The sequence below is a fragment of the Homo sapiens genome, chromosome 12, assembly GCF_000001405.40.
Source record: "Homo sapiens chromosome 12, GRCh38.p14 Primary Assembly".
NCBI classification, from domain to species: domain Eukaryota; kingdom Metazoa; phylum Chordata; class Mammalia; order Primates; family Hominidae; genus Homo; species Homo sapiens.
The window spans coordinates 66,210,649-66,226,921 of NC_000012.12; the positions used below are offsets into that span (position 1 = coordinate 66,210,649).

The window sequence follows — 16,273 nt, forward strand, 5'->3', positions numbered from 1 at the left end:
AATAATTTAGTTCCACCTGGAATCATTCTGATAAATGTTAAAGACTATTTAAGGCTGCGTTGCCTAGTCTTTGCCACTAGATCTGATGCTTCTTTCATTGAAAAAAGAATTAGGAAAGTTAGATAAGGCTTTGGTTCTTCAACAATAAGGTCTAAATCAAACATTAAGTGTCTTCAGAGAGGATTTTGTATTAGCTATGGAAATATAGCCAAAGTTGGGTTCTGAAGGACATAGCCAAACTTTTCCTTTTCAATTTGTATTTGATTCCTGTTTGCATGTTTTCTCCCAATCTCCACTTTGGGTGAGTTTTTAAAAGGCTGAATCATCTTTCTAATTCACTCTGAGGAAGTAAATTAGGCAGTTAGAGGATTTGGCACATGAGAAGTGTTTCTATCAGTCATGCTTGGAGAATATTGCTTAGTCATGTCCATATTTCCACTTCCATAATTTTTTAGTAGTTTTAGGTTCATAGTGGGTCAACAGCAACACATTGACCTAATGACCAGAAAATTGAATCTTGGAAGAATTTCTTCCACTAAGCTCTTTGGCTGATCTCTTTTGAGAGGAGGTAAAAATCACAATGCTGCTGTCCGAAGAAACCCTTTGCTCTGTGGAATGGTGGGAACTAGATCCAAGTAAATGTGCAGAGAGCACATGGTGGTCTTCGGCTTTGGTTCCTGGGCCTTTCTCTACTAACCTTCCACTGGACTCTGATTTGTTTCTAATATAGAAATTTTGGTTATAATGGTGATGTTCCTTCTTAGCTAACTTATCTTCCCCCTACTTTCCTTCCTAAGGAATACTGCTTAAATCTTCCATCAGCTTTCAAAATATCATAGAAGGAACTAGAAATTTCCACAAAGACTTCCTAATTGGAGAAGGAGAGATTTTTGAGGTATACAGAGTGGAGATTCAAAACCTAACATATGCTGTCAAATTATTTAAACAGGTATGGAAAGAATTACTGTCACAGGACATCAGTTCCACTTATTTGTTCATCTTTCATATTAAAATATGTCATTTTTCATCAACATTGAAAGGGGTATTTGAAAATAAAATTTTATAAGTGGAAATAAGAGATATGATTTCAGATGACTGGAGAAGTAAAGACCTGTCTTGCAAGAATGAGGAAGTTAAATGCTTTCCATCCCCAGATGTTATAGCATGAAAGACTTTTCTGGGCTGGGTGTGGTGGTTCACGCCTGTAATCCCAGCACTTTGGGAGCCCAAGGTGGGTGGATCACTTGAGGTCAGGAGTTTGAGACCAGCCTGATCAACAGGGTGAAACCCTGTCTCTACTAAAAACACAAGACTTAGCTGGGCGTGGTGGTATGCTCCTGTAGTCCCAGCTACTTGGGAGGCTGAGGCAGGAGAATCGCTTGAGCACAGGAAGAAGAGGCTGCAGTGAGCCAAGATTGCACCACTGCACTCCAGCCTGGGTGATAAAGTGAGACACCACCTCAAAAAAAAAAAAAAAGACTTCTGAAAAGTCTCCAGGACTTTGTTAAAGAGGGTCAGGTAGTGCTAGCCTGCCCTGATTTTCTTGGATTTTTAGGATGAGCCGGGTCCTCTCCAGGCAGCCTCACAGGCTAAGCCACAGTTTGGCATTTGGTACTGCTTTATAAATTGTCTTCTATCACAACTCAGAAGGGTGGAAGGAGGAGGCTTTCGAGTAGGAACAACAAACCAACAAACAGAGTAGGAGGTCAGAAGACAGTTGATTGACTGCAGCCAATGAAGCAAAAAGGGAATTCCAGGATCAAGCTCAGGAGTCAGTCAGAGATAGGTCCACACACAAACACAGAAGAGCTGCTCTTCGTTTTCTTCATAGTTGGTCAACAATAAGTAAACATTTACTAAACTCTTATATGGACTGGGTGCTGAGCATGTAGAGATGAATAAGGCATAGTTCTGTCCTCAAGGAGCTCACAGTCTCTCTGGTGAAATAGCCAGGAAAACAAAAGATTAAACTGTTGTAAAAGAGGTACTTTAGCGAGAATTGTACAAAAGATCACAGAAGCACATAAAAGATAGCAACTCTCACAGCCATAAAAAAGAATGAGTTCATGTCCTTTGTAGGGACATGAATGAAGCTGGAAACCATCATCCTTAGCGAACGAACACAGGAACAGGAAACCAAACACTGCATGTTCTCACTTGTAAGTGGGAGTTGAACAATAAGAACACATGGACACAGAGGGGAGGGGAACATCACACACCCAGGGCCTGTTGGGGGGTTGGGGGAAATGGGAGGAAGAGTATTAGGACAAATACCTAATGCATGCGGGTCTTAAAACCTAGATGATGGGTTGATAGGTGCAGCAAACCACCGTGGCACATGTATACTTATGTAACAAACCTGCATGTTCAGCACATGTATCCAGAGCTTAAAGTAAAATTAAAAAATAAATAAAAAAGAAAAAAAAAGAAAAAGAGGTTTAATGGACTCAGTTTCACATGGCTGGGGAGGCCTCAGTATCATGGCAGAAGATGAAAGGCACGCCTTACGATGCAGACAAGAGAGAAGTTGTGCAGGGAAACTCCCATTTTTAAAACCATCAGATCTTGTGAGACTTATTCACTGTCACAAGAACAGCACTGGAAAGACCCACCCCCATGATTCAATTAACTCCCACTGGGCCCCTCCCACAACACGTGGGAATTGTGGGAGCTACAATTCAAGATGAATTTGGGTGGGGACACAGCAAAACCATATCAGAAGTCTATCTGAAAAGGTTACATACCATATGATTCCAAGTATATGACACTTTGGAAAAGGAGGAACAATTGAGACAGTAAAATATGGTGTCTGGGTGTTTGGTAAGGGTTAGATGAATAGGCAGAGCACAGATGATTTTTAGGGCAGTGAAACTACTCTGATACTGTAATGGTGGATACATATTATCATATATTTGTCAAAACCCATAGAATATACCACACTAAGAGTGAACTCTAGTGTAAACTACGGTAATAATGATATGTCAACTTAAGATCATTGATTTTAACAAATGTACCTCACTGGTGTGAGATGTTAATAATTGGGAAGCTGTGTGCATGTGTGTGGGAACGCCTTACTTTCCTCTCAATTTTTTGTAAATCTAAATCTGCTCTAAAAAATAAAGTCTACTAATTAAAAAAAAAAAAAAAAAAGATAGCGACTCTCTCCTCCCAGAGGAGGGCTGTGTCTGGCACCCAGAAGAGTATCTGGCCAGAGTAACCACTCAGTAAACAGTTCTCAAAAACAAATGGGGAAACCATCCAGCTGGATTTTGAAGGATGAGTAGAATTTTGGCAGGCAGTAAAGGAGGGGAATTACATTCCTGGTGGAACAAATAGCAGTTGCAGAGACCTGGAGGTGTGTGTATGAAAACGTAGGTCTTCCTCATGAATAGCATTTCATTCAGTGCAGCGGACTGGGTGTAGGGAAGATGGTGAGAAGAGGATGCTGGAAAGATATTAAGTCTGTGGGTGATTTTTAAGTAGGAGACTGAAAGATTTGTGTTGTTAAAATATGACTTAGATTCTAGGTTAGATAGTGGATTGGAAGTTGGCAGAAGAATTGGGGGAAAGATGGCAAGAGCTAGCTGGAGGCAGGCTGGGCATGGTGGCTCATGCCTGTAATCCCAGCACTTTGGGAGGCTGAGGTGGGCGGATCACTTGAGGTCAGGAGTTCGAGACCAGACTGGCCAACATGGTGAAACCCTGTCTCTACCAAGAAATACAAAAAAAAAATTAAAAAAAAAATAGCTGGGTGTGGTGGTGCCTGCCTGTAGTTCCAGCTACTCGAGAGGCTGAGGTGAGAGGATTGCTTGAACCCAGGAGGCAGAGGTTGCAGTGAGCCAAGATCACGCCACTGCATTTCAGTGTGGGCAACAGAGTAAGACCCTATCAAAAACAAAACAAAACAAAACAAAACAAAACCACCAGACTGGAGGCAGAAAGACCTGGTAGAGGGATATTTCAGATGTGCAAACCAAGAAATGGACAGGGTATAAACCCGTGTTCCCAACCCTGACTATATATTAGAATTATCTAGGAGCTTTTTAAAAAAATGAGCCTTTAAAAAAATTGACTTTTAAAAAAATGGGCCTTTAAAAAAATGAACTTTTAAAAAAATGGTAGTCACCAGTATTTTTTAAAAGGTCCCAAGGTGGTTCACATGTGTAGCCACTGTTGAGAGTTAATGCTGTTAGCCTGGGCAAAGTCAGTGAGGATGCAGAGGAGAAAGCATGTCTAAGAGACGAGGTGAAGTGGACCACATCTGATTATCTGTTGGATAGGAGTGGGGAAGAAGGAGGGTTTCAAGGTGATTCCGAGTTTGCAGCTTGCATTACCGTACCGTTTTAAAAATTATTTACCTAATTTCTCCATTTCTCCAAATTGCATTTAGTACTACTTAATTGTACATAGAAATCTCAAAATTACTGAGAAGATGAACAGTCTGCTAAAGAAACAACCAGCTGGCCCAACTATTCAACAAATAGAATGTGGTTGCTCTAGAGGTGGCCAAGCTAAAGCCTGTTTCTTAATGCCAATGTGTCCCTGGCCCCAATTCGTACATTGTCTTATGGTTGAGCCTCAGGACCCCATCCCCAAAGGGTCCGTCCAGTCTACTTTCCTACTCTCTCTGCAGCTGCCACCAAATCACACTCCCTTTTGGGAGTTTTCTTTCCATGAGTCTGAATGGTATTGATTGCTTCTAGAACCCCTTCCCTTTCTTTCTTAAAGAAAGGTGTTATTTCCTGGATTGTCTTTGACCCCTCCAGTGTGGTTTGGGTGACACTCCTATGTGTAGCAATAGCATCAAAGCATTACGTTATTCACCCACCTCTCTCAAAGGACTGGGCAGCTTTTTTTGAAGAGCTCTTATTTGTCTTTGTATCCTAGTGCCTTATTACAGGGCCTTGCCCATAGTAGCTCAGTAAATGTTTGCTGGATAAATTGAATGCAGCATACATACCCTTTTCAAGAATTTAGTTGCTAGTTGTTACGAGTAAAAATACCTGAGATTACCAAGGTGTGTACAAAGTCTTACTGTCTCTACATACATTTTAACTTTCTCTTAAGGTGGTAAATGAAAGTATGGCCGGACTTTGCCCTTCTGCTTTTATCTCCGCCCCCTATTTTAACCCAACATGCACACACACACACACACACACACACACACACACACACACACACTTATCAGGAAAAAATGAGAGCATTTAATGAAGCCTTAGCCACAGAACATTGTTAAAGAAATGCAGTTTTGTAACATTGGTTCATTACCAATTACTTTTCTTAGAGGGACTGAGGTGGGAAATTGTACTAGGTGTGTTAGATCTGTGCTTCTCTAACTTTAATCACCTGGGAATCATCTTACAATGCAGATTCTGATTCAGCAGATCTGACAGGAGCCCTGGATTTGCCATTTCTCGGCAGCTCCTAATGAAGCTGGGGTTTTTTGGTCATAGACCACATTTCAAGCAACAGGGTGTTAGAGTGCTACATTAGCATAAACAAAAAAACCGACTCCTTCATTTTTCAGACTGGAAAACTATGGCCTTAGGGAAGTTAAGTGACTGACAAAGAATCACAAATAGCGAGTGTTAGAGATGGGCGGAAAATCCAACCCATCTGGCTCCCAGGACAATGGTCTTGTAAAATGTAAATTCTGATAAAATGGTCCTTGAAAATGATTTTTTAGCCTGATTTATTGTTTCTGACTTCCTAGTTCAACTTGGAAAATAGTTTCCAAAATTCCTGTTGAATTTCTCTCCCTTTATTCCTGAGGGCAGAACTCCAAAACTCCACCTTCTCTAGCAATTTGCAAATGATAGAACGTTACAACTGGTGAGACCTAGGAGCATACTTAATTTAACTCTTTTGGTAGAAGTTGGAAACCTGAGATCCAGAGACATGCAATGACCTAAGATATATGAAGGCATCAAGAACAGTGCTAGGGACAGAGTAGGTGTTCAGTACAATGTTACTGAACTCATTAAAATATTCATGTGTCAGGCTCTGGGCTATCTTCTAAAGCTTCTTGAAAGTAAAGAGTTATATTTTTATTTGCTTAGTAAGCCCATCTTTTCAAAAGGCAAAGGTAAACTTGAACTGACATATCCAAATAACCCAAGTCATAAACACCAAATTAGTGAAATTTTGTAGCAGAATAGAAATAACACAAGTTGGATTCTTTATAAGATCAAGTTGGGGAGGTTCTAGCTGTCATGGGATTGTCTTTGAATACATAGAATGTTTTTGAATTTATGTAAATGTGTGCAAAATATGATGAAAGAGTTAACATGGCGATACACTGCATGAAAAACCTTCAATTCAAGAACACTGGTTCTAGATCTCTTTTGGGGCTAATGGATTGTTGAAAATCTGTTGAAAGCTAAATGTCATCTCCCCAGAAAAGTGTTCATATGTGTTTACACCAAAAAGTTCATCTAATTTAGGGAGACTATAGACCCTGGGTTAAGAATCCCAGAAACAGATCCTTTCCTTAATTTTGTTCTTGTCTTTCTGTATATGTAGGAGAAAAAAATGCAGTGTAAGAAGCATTGGAAGAGGTTTTTATCTGAGCTTGAAGTTTTACTACTGTGAGTATGTTTTCTCTGGAATTTCCTCCTCTTTGTGCCTGGGTTTCATCTCTGTTCATTTTTTATTTTACAGCACAGAGCTTGGCGTGACATGTAATAAATTTGGGTTGGATGTTAGAACTTCGAATAAATTTTGATATCTGCTTTAGTATATTCCTTAAAGTACATTTTAAAATAGATCATTTACATAATTCACTTGAACATATTTTAACAGGAAACTGTCACAAGGAAGTAGGTTAAATCATGTGTGACTAACATGGCTGAATAGTAATACTTAGAACATTAGAGTGGTCTATATTTCACCATTTCCTCCTTCCTTAGAGAAATTCCAGTCTAGAAGCTGTTTCATCAGTATAACTCTATTCAGGAAGAGAGTTTTAGACAAAGAAATCAAGCGCTTTTGATGTGCATATTATTTTTCTGGAATTCACTCCTGAGTCTGAGAGTCCTTGGAGACAAATTGAAATGACTTCGTTTTCATATACATATTCATATCTGCAGCTGTGCAGCCTTCCTCATTGAAGGCCTCTAACCCTGTAGAGTTCACTTGTCATCCTTTACAAATAGGAAACTTTTTCAGATTTTTTTTTAACCAAGATGTGAAGTCGGGAAGCAGGGAGGAAGCTGAAGAGAGAAGGCATTATACTGAATCCATTTTCTTTTATACTGAAGACCAGAAATCAAAATAGTAGAGGCTAATCATCAAAGCTTACATATCACTTAGTCAATAAAAAATGAAATCCAAAATTGTAATAGTAAAAAGTTTTTACATGTGAGTTTTATTTATTGGCTTATGAAAGTAAGATTCAAACATTGCAAAATTTCAAAAGTACAAAAGCATAGACCAGGAAAAGATTTTCTCCCACCATTATCATCCAACCACCCAGCTGATCTTTCCAAAGTAACAGTATTACCAGTTCCTTGTATATATTTCCAGAGATATTTTGTGTGTAGGCAAATATGTATTTTGTTTTCTTATTTTTCTCCCTTAACACAAGAGGTGACATGAACACATTGTACACATTGCTTATTTTCATATTCTATTATATTCTATACAGTAGTTTACATAACCCACTGTTCACAATTTCTTAGATTTGTTCCAATATTTTATTATATGAAATAATGCTGCAACAAGAAAACCTTGTATATATGTTATTTCATACTTATTTGAGTATATCTGTAAAATAAATTCTCATAAATAAAATTATAGTATCAAATGGTTATGTGCATTTTATCATAACAAATTGTCCTCCAATATAAGTTATACCAATTTACTTTCAAAGCAGTCATATGAGAGTGCCTGGTTTTCCATTGTTGCCAACCTAGTATTTATTCTTACCTCTTAATTTTCGCCAATCTGATAGGTGAAAATAGTTTATCAGGGTAGCTTTTGAAAAAATATTTAATTGACAAATAAAAATTGTATATATTAATGTGTACAATGTGATTTGATATACAGTATGTACACATTGTCTAAAGATCACCACAATCAAATTAATACATCTATTACCACCCATGCTGTACTTTAGATCCCCAGAATGTGTTCATTGTACAATGGAAAGGTTGCCTGCTTTGACCAACATCTGTCTATTTTTCCCAACCCCCAGCCCTTGGTAACTATTTTTCTACTCTCTGCTTCTCTACGTTTGACTTTTTTAGCTTCCACATATAAGTGAGATCATGCAGTATTTGTCTTCTGTGTCTGGCTTATTTTACTTAGCATAATGTCTTCCAGGTTCATCCATGTTGTTGGAAATGGCAGGATTTTCTTCTTTTTATGGCTGAATAATATTCCATCGTGTGTGTGTGTGTGTATGTGTGTGTGTGTGTGTGTCTCACACTTTATTCTTTATCCATTCCTCTGTCAATGGACATTTAAGTTGTGTCTATGTCTTGGTTACTGTGAATAATGCTGCATTAAACATGAGAGTGCAGATATCTCTTTGAGATACTGATTTTATTTCTTTTACATACGTACCCTGATATGGTTTGGTTCTGTGTCCCCACCCAAATCTCATCCTGAATATACTCCCATAGTTCCCATGTGTTGTGAGAGGGACCTGGTCGGAGATTATTGAATCACGGGGGCAGTTTCTCCCATACTGTTCTTGTGATAGTGAATAAGTCTCACAAGATCTGATGGTTTTAAAAAGGGGAGTTTCTCAGCACATGCTCTGTTCTTTTGTCTGCCGCCATGTGAGATGTGCTTTTTATCTTCCACCATGATTGTGGGGCATCCCCAGCCACATGGAACTGTAAGCCCATTAAACCTCTTTCTTTTGTAAATTGCCCAGTCTCAGGTATGTCTTTATCAGCAGCATGAAAATGGACTAATACATACCCAGAAGTGAGATTGTTGGATCTTATGGTAGTTGTATTTTCAGTTTTTTAAGGAACCTCCATTATGGCTGTACCACTTTATATTCCAACCAACAGCATACAAGGACTTCTTTTTCTCCATACCCTCAGCAACTCTTGTATCACTTGTCTTTTTGATAATAGCCATCCTAATAAGTGTGAGGTGATATCTCATTGTGGTTTTGATTTGCATTTTTCTGATGATTAGTGATGTTAAGCATCTTTTCATATACCTCTTAGTCATTGGTATGTCTTCTTTGAAAAACTATCTCTTTGGGTCATTTGCCCATTTTTATCAGGTTATTTGCTTTTTTGCTATTGAATTGTATGAGTTCCTCACTATTTTGTATCTTAACACCTTATTAGATATATGGTTTGCAAGTATTTTCTCCCATTCCATAGGTTTCCATTTCATTTTGTTGATTGTTTCCTTTGTTGTGCAGAAGCTTTTTAGTTTGATATAGTTCCACTTGTTCATTTTTGCTTTTGTCACCTATGCTTTTTGTGTCATAGCCAAAAAATCATTGCCAAGACCAATGTCAAGGTAAATTTTCCCTATGTTTTCTTCCAGATTTGTATGGTTTCAGATCTTACATTTAAGTATTTAATCCATTTTGAGTTAATTTTTGTATATGGTGTAAGACAAAGGTCCAATTTTATTATTTTGTATGTGGGTATTCAGTTTTCCCAACACCATTTATTGAAGATAATTTTCTTCTTCTGTTGTATATTCTTGGTGCCCTTTTCAAAGATTAGTTGATGATATATATGTAGGTTTATTTCTGTTATTTTTTTTTTTAAATTCTATTCCATTGGTCAATGAGTCTGTTTTTATGCCGGTGCCATACTGTTTTTATTACTATAGCTCTGTAATATAGTTTGAAATCAGGACGTGAATGCCTCTGGCTTTGTTCTTCTTTCTTTTTTTTTTTTTTTTTTTTTTTTGAGACGGAGTCTCGCTCTGTCGCCCAGGCTGGAGTGCAGTGGCGGGATCTCGGCTCACTGCAAGCTCCGCCTCCCGGGTTCACGCCATTCTCCTGCCTCAGCCTCCCAAGTAGCTGGGACTACAGGCGCCCGCCACTACGCCCGGCTAATTTTTTGTATTTTTAGTAGAGACGGGGTTTCACCGTTTTAGCCGGGACGGTCTCGATCTCCTGACCTCGTGATCCGCCCGCCTCGGCCTCCCAAAGTGCTGGGATTACAGGCGTGAGCCACCGCGCCCGGCCTGTTCTTCTTTCTTAAACTCACTTACTGTTTTGGGTCTTTCATGGTTCTATATAAATTTTAGCATTTTTCTTCTATTTTTGTGAAAAATGGCATTGGAATTTTGATAGAAATGTGTTGAATGTGTAGCTCACTTTGAGTAGTATGGACATTTTAACAATATTAATTCTTTCAATTCAGGTATGTAATGCATCTTTCCATTTATTTGTGTCTTCTTCAGTTTCTTTCATCAGTGTCCTATAGTTGTTAACGCACAAAATTTTCACCTCCTTGGTTAAATTTATTCCTAAGTGTTTTATTCTTTTTAATGCTGTTGTAAATAGGATCATTTCCTTAATTTCCTTTTCAGATTGTTCATTGTTAGCATATAGACACATAGTTGATTTTTATATGTTGATTTTGTATTATGCAACTTTTCTGAATTTGTTTATTGTTCTAACAGTTTTTTTGGTGGAGTCTTTTGGGTTTTCATCATGTCATCTGTAGACAGAGCCACCTTTAACTTGCACCTTTCCAATTAGGATGCTTTTATTTCTTTTTTATTGCCTAATTGCTCTGGCTAGGACTTCCAGCTCTATCTTGAATAGAAATGGAAAGGGTGGGCACACTTATCTTTTTCCTGAACTTAGAGGAAAAGCATTCAGCTTTTCACTGTTAAGGTATGATGTTAGCTGTGGGTTTGTCATATATGGCATTTATTACATTGAGATACATTCCTTCTATACCTAATTTGTTGAGAGTTTTTATCATGAAAGGATGTTGAATTTTATCAAATGCTTTTGCATTTGTTGAGATGGTTTTGTGATTTTTATTTTTCAGTCTGTTAATATGGTGTATCATTTACATATTTGCACATGTTGAACCATCCTTGCTTCTCAGGGATAAGTCCTGTTTGACTCTGGTATTTCATCCTATTAATGTTCTGTTGAAGACTGGGCACAGGGGCACATGCCTGTAATCCCAGCACTTTGGGAGACCAGGAAGGTGGGTCACCTGAGGTCAGGAGTTCAAGACCAGCCTGGCCAACATGATGAAACCCCATCTGTACTAAAAATATAAAAATTAGCCAGGTGTAGTGGTGCACGCTTGCAATCCCAGCTATTCAGGAAGCTGAGGCACAAGAATTGCTTGAACCCGGGAGGCGGAGGTTGCAGTGGGCTGAGATCATGCCACCACACTCTAGCCTGGGCAACAGAGCAAGACTCGATCTCCAAAAACAAACAAACAAACAAACAAAAAATGTTCTGTTGAATTTAGCTTGCTAAATTTGTTGAGGATTTTTGTATCTATGGCCATCATGGATATTGGCATATAACGTTTTCTCATTGTGTTCTTATCTGGCTTTGATATGAGGGTAATGCTGGCCTACTAAAATAAGTTTGACAGTGTTCCCTCGTCTTTAATTTTTTAAAAGATTTTGACAGGGATTAGTATTAATTCTTCTTTAAATGCTTGTTAGAATTTACCCAGAATCTCTATGGTCCTGGACTTTTCTTCGTTGGGAGGTTTTTGATTATTTAATCAATCTCCTTGGTTGTTATTGGTCTGTTTAGGTTTTCTATTTCTTCATGATTCAGTCTTGGTGGATTGTATGTTTCTAGGAATCCATCTATTTCTTTTAAGTTTTCCAGATTGTTGGCATACGATAGTTCATAATAGTCTCTTATGATCCTTAGTGTTTCTGTGGTATCAGTTGTAATGTCGCCTCTTTCATTTATATTTTATTTATTTGAGGCCTCTCAAAAAAACAAGTCTCATAGTATCAATTTTTCTGAGAGATATTAATAATCCTTTTATATATTTAAGAGATATATTTTATTTTCTATGAAGTAGCTTATAATATTCCTTACCTATTTTTTAAAATTAGGCTTTTTTTAGTGGTTCAAAGGAATATTTTATAATTCCTATTAGAAAATCAGCCTATTTTTATGTTATGAGACGCAAATAATTTTTTACCATACTGTCATTTCATCTTTGCTTATTATAGTTTTGACATGTAGAAATGGTTTTAATATAGGTAATTTCACTCGCGTCTGTGTGAAGAGACCACCACACAGGCTTTGTGTGAGCAATAAAGCTTTTTAATCACCTGGGTGCAGGCGGGCTGAGTCCGAAAAGAGAGTCAGCGAAGGGAGATAGGGGTGGAGCCGTTTTATAGGATTTGAGTAGGTAAAGGAAAATTACAGTCAAAGGGGGGTTGTTCTCTGTGGGGCAGGAGTGGGGTGTCACAAGGTGCTCAGTGGGGGAGCTTTTTGAGCCAGGATGAGCCAGGAGAAGGAATTTCACAAGGTAATGTCATCAGTTAAGGCAAGGACCGGCCATTTTCACTTCTTTTGTGGTGGAATATCATCAGTTAAGGCAGGAACATGCCATTTAAATATCACTTCTTTTGTGATTCTTCAGTTACTTCAGGCCATCTGGATGTATACATGCAGGTCACAGGGGATGCAATAGCTTAACTTGGGCTCAGAGGCCTGACAGTTAAGTTTATCAATGTTTTCTTTTGCGGATTCCAGATTTTATGTTATAGTTTTTGCCATTAAAAGTTATCATGGTTTGAGGCCAGGCGCGGTGGCTCACGCCTGTAATCCCAGCACTTTGGGAGGCCGAGGCAGGCGGATTATGAGGTCAGGAGATCAAGACCATCCTGGCTAACACTGTGAAACCCCGTCTCTACTAAAAATACAAAACATTAGCCAAGCATGGTGACGGGCGCCTGTAGTCCCAGCTACTCGGGAGGCTGAGGCTAGAGAATGGCGTGAACCCAGGAGGCAGAGCTTGCAGTGAGCTGAGTTCACGCCACTGCACTCCAGCCTGGGCAACAGAGCGAGACTCCGTCTCAAAAAAAAAAAAAGTTATCATGGTTTTTGCCATTAAAAGTAAACATTACTTTTTTTTATTTTTATTTTTTTTTGAGACGGAGTCTTGCTCTGTCACCTAGGCTGGGGTGCAGTGATGTCATCTCAGCTCACTGCAAGCTCTTCCTCCTGGGTTCACGCCATTCTTCTGCCTCAGCCTCCCGAGTAGCTGGGCAAAAACCGCAGTAATTTTTGCACCAATCTAATAAAATAATTCTCCCATTTTTTCCCAGTACTTTCATGGTTTCATTTTTTACATTTATTTGTCTGATCCATTTATTTGTCTGGTGAGGTGTTTTCTGTGAACTACAACAACAGCTTGTCTAGGTTTCAAAAATTCTATCGGCATTTTTAATGCAATTTTAATAACTTTATAGATTAATCTGGAGATATTTACAATTTTATAATGTTGGCTATTCCTGGGGTACCATTTTTATTTTGCTAATATTTATTTTGTGTTAGGCCCTGTTTCAAGTGCTTTACATGTGTTAATTCATTAATCCTCATGACCATCCAATGAGATAAATTCTCCTGTTATCTCCATTTTGCAGATGAGGAAACTGAGGTAGATCTTACCTTTTCTATAAGATCCAAGTTATTTCCTGAATCATCTTCTCAGATGTGACTAAGGCAGATGCAGCTTTCTCCTCTTAGAATGTACTATCAGAAATGGGATTGGGAGAGAAGCCCCTAAGTAAACAGACAATTTCAATAATCTAATTTAAGTGATAAGATGAGGAAATACAGAGCACAGAGGAGGAAATGATAACTTGGGGGATGAGCAGCAGAATAGGTTTCTTGATAGAAATAATATCTAAGCTGAGACCTGAAGGATGAGGTTTCTTTAGTTTAATATTAAGGAAATTACCTTAAACAGAATTGTAAACTCCATAGAATGTGGCTTCTGATTCCTTTTTTCCCTCCTTTCTCGAGGGAAGGGGAAAAAGCTAATAATTTTTGTGGACCTGGCTTTTGGCTTAACCTTTTATTTCATTTTCATAAGAACCTTGGAAATAGATGTTTTAATTACTGATTACAGTTAAAGGAACAGGCTCAGAGCGATTAAATAACTTGCCCAAGTTAACACAGCTGTTAAAAAGACCAGAGATTCAATCCCAGGTTAGTTGTTCAAATCTGTTTACCACACCATGGGGTCTGCATCATTTTGTCTGAACAAGGCACTCAGAACATTTGCTGAAGTGATTTTAGAAGGTATCAGATCTGCTAACCTTCTGATGTATATAATCTAAAACCCTACTGATTTAAAAATTTGTAGCAAAAGATTGGGTGGCATGGGTCCATAGGTACAACACCAGCAAACTTTCTCCAAGGTATCTCCATGTTCCATACCTTGGTAACCTCTAAAGTATCCGTTTTTCTGTTTGATCAGTAATACTTAAAAATAAGCACATGTTCTTTTCTCCTCTCTGAGCAAGAGAGTAGAGCACCAGGCCGTGGCTCTGTCTATCTGATGTCCACTATCTACTGCCTTCCAAAAGATTAGTCTCTCTGAATTATTTTAAGTTGCAGGAGAACCAACCAGGTATACACCGACTGTGAAATACACTACCTCAATTTCCTTTCAATCCACTGCTTTTCATTTCATAGATATAGTTGGAATCATAATAGGTGTAGGGATCTTGTATCACAGAAGACTTTGATATATTTAAAAATAAAAACTTCTCTATGTGTATTGTGTGTGTGTGTATGTATACATACACACACACACGCTTCCTTCCTTGAAGAGGAAGAAAAGGAATCAGAATCCCCCTCCCCCGCCACGTACACACAATATATGTAGGAATGTGTGTGTTTATAGGAAAATTTTGCTACTGCAGAAATGAATAATAGGTTTTTATAAATAGAATCTTTTTTACAGATTTATTTTAATATCCCCAAGCCTGCCCAGAACATAGTAGATGTCCCATAAGTAATTTTTGAATTAAACCGAGTTCACAGTATGTGTGAATTTCACATTTTATATTTCATAGTTGTTACCTGGGCTCATAGTGATGGCACACACAATCGAGGAATAGAGTTTTTGTTAATAAGCTAATAAATAATTATTAGGAAAAAAAAAAGCCTGAGAAATGCATACTACACTGACATAGAAATCTGTGATTTAAAATCAATGGTATGTTCTCAACATCAAACATTACTAGTCATATGGATTTAGACAATAATGCAAGCTTTGTGAAGACACTGACATCTCTTTTGAGCTGTGTAGCTGGTATCTAGCACAGTACCTGACATAGTAGTGCTCAATAAGTGGATGAATGAAAATGGTCTTTATTCTTATGTTTTGGTGACTTAAACTTATATACTTAAATAAATCAAGCTAACAATTTTAGTTGCACTGTTTTTACTTAATAAGTCATGTTGTCTTTCATATTGATAAAAATAAGTTAATATTGAATAGTGTTGTCTATCTTTTGTAAACTTTCCAACATTACAAATCTTTAAAAATCTTTATTTTTTTAAATTTTCTGCCTTATATTTGGATGTTTTATTTATATTTACATGATTACAGTCAACCAAAAGCAGTAACTAGTATTTGTTAGAATTTTTTTTTTTTTCTTTTTTGAGGTGGAGTCTCGCTCTTGTCGCACAGGCTGGAGGGTAGTGGTGTGATCTTGGCTCACGGCAACCTCCGCCTTCCGGTTCAAGCAATTCTCCTGCCTCAGCCTCCCGAGTAGCTGGGATAACCAGGTGCTCACCACCATGCCCAGCTAATTTTTGTATTTTTAGTAGAAACGGGGTTTCACCATGTTGGCCAGGCTGGTCTCAAACTCCTGACCTCAAGTGATCAGCTAGCCTCTGCCTCCCACATTGCTGGGATTACAGGTTTGAGCCACTGCACCTGGCCGTTAGAACTCTTTAGACCAATTTGGAAAGCAAATCTGTGTCTGTACCCAATGTGTCCGGCTGAATTTATATTCCGCTTTAGGCCTATTCCCCATCCCACCTTACTACCCCCACACCAGTGTGTTGTTCATTTCCTGTCTGAATAAGCAATTTGATGGCTTTAAAACATCTTTTGTTTCAAGGTTTCATCACCCAAACATACTAGAGTTGGCTGCATATTTTACAGAGACTGAGAAGTTCTGTCTGATTTATCCATACATGAGAAATGGAACACTTTTTGACAGATTGCAGTGTGTAGTAAGTTCTATCTATTATTCTGTCTGATCCTCTGACCCCTTGAATCCCTGGGAGAGCTGCTGAAACCGTCTGGGAGAGTTGGGA

The 16,273-nt window shown here is 38.3% G+C and overlaps 1 protein-coding gene across 2 annotated transcripts in view, besides 2 other annotated features; it reads left to right on the top strand.

Moving 5' to 3' along the window:
* Nucleotides 1-16,273, top strand: part of IRAK3 (interleukin 1 receptor associated kinase 3) — a 65,409-nt gene that overhangs the window by 21,435 nt on the left and 27,701 nt on the right. For both annotated transcript variants that reach the window (NM_007199.3, NM_001142523.2), the window contains 3 exons: nucleotides 798-949; nucleotides 6,523-6,587; nucleotides 16,075-16,189. In NM_007199.3, the coding sequence (NP_009130.2) occupies nucleotides 798-949; nucleotides 6,523-6,587; nucleotides 16,075-16,189 (332 nt within the window). The remainder of the gene's footprint in view (nucleotides 1-797; nucleotides 950-6,522; nucleotides 6,588-16,074; nucleotides 16,190-16,273) is intronic.
* Nucleotides 12,117-12,618: an enhancer, noted in NCBI's record as "NANOG-H3K27ac hESC enhancer chr12:66616545-66617046 (GRCh37/hg19 assembly coordinates)". NCBI's record gives its function as "activates a minimal SCP1, AML or CMV promoter by ChIP-STARR-seq in naive H9 embryonic stem cells {active_cell/tissue: H9 hESC(naive)}" and the evidence as "EXISTENCE:reporter gene assay evidence [ECO:0000049][PMID:30033119]".
* Nucleotides 12,619-13,118: an enhancer, noted in NCBI's record as "NANOG-H3K27ac hESC enhancer chr12:66617047-66617546 (GRCh37/hg19 assembly coordinates)". NCBI's record gives its function as "activates a minimal SCP1, AML or CMV promoter by ChIP-STARR-seq in naive and primed H9 embryonic stem cells {active_cell/tissue: H9 hESC(naive and primed)}" and the evidence as "EXISTENCE:reporter gene assay evidence [ECO:0000049][PMID:30033119]".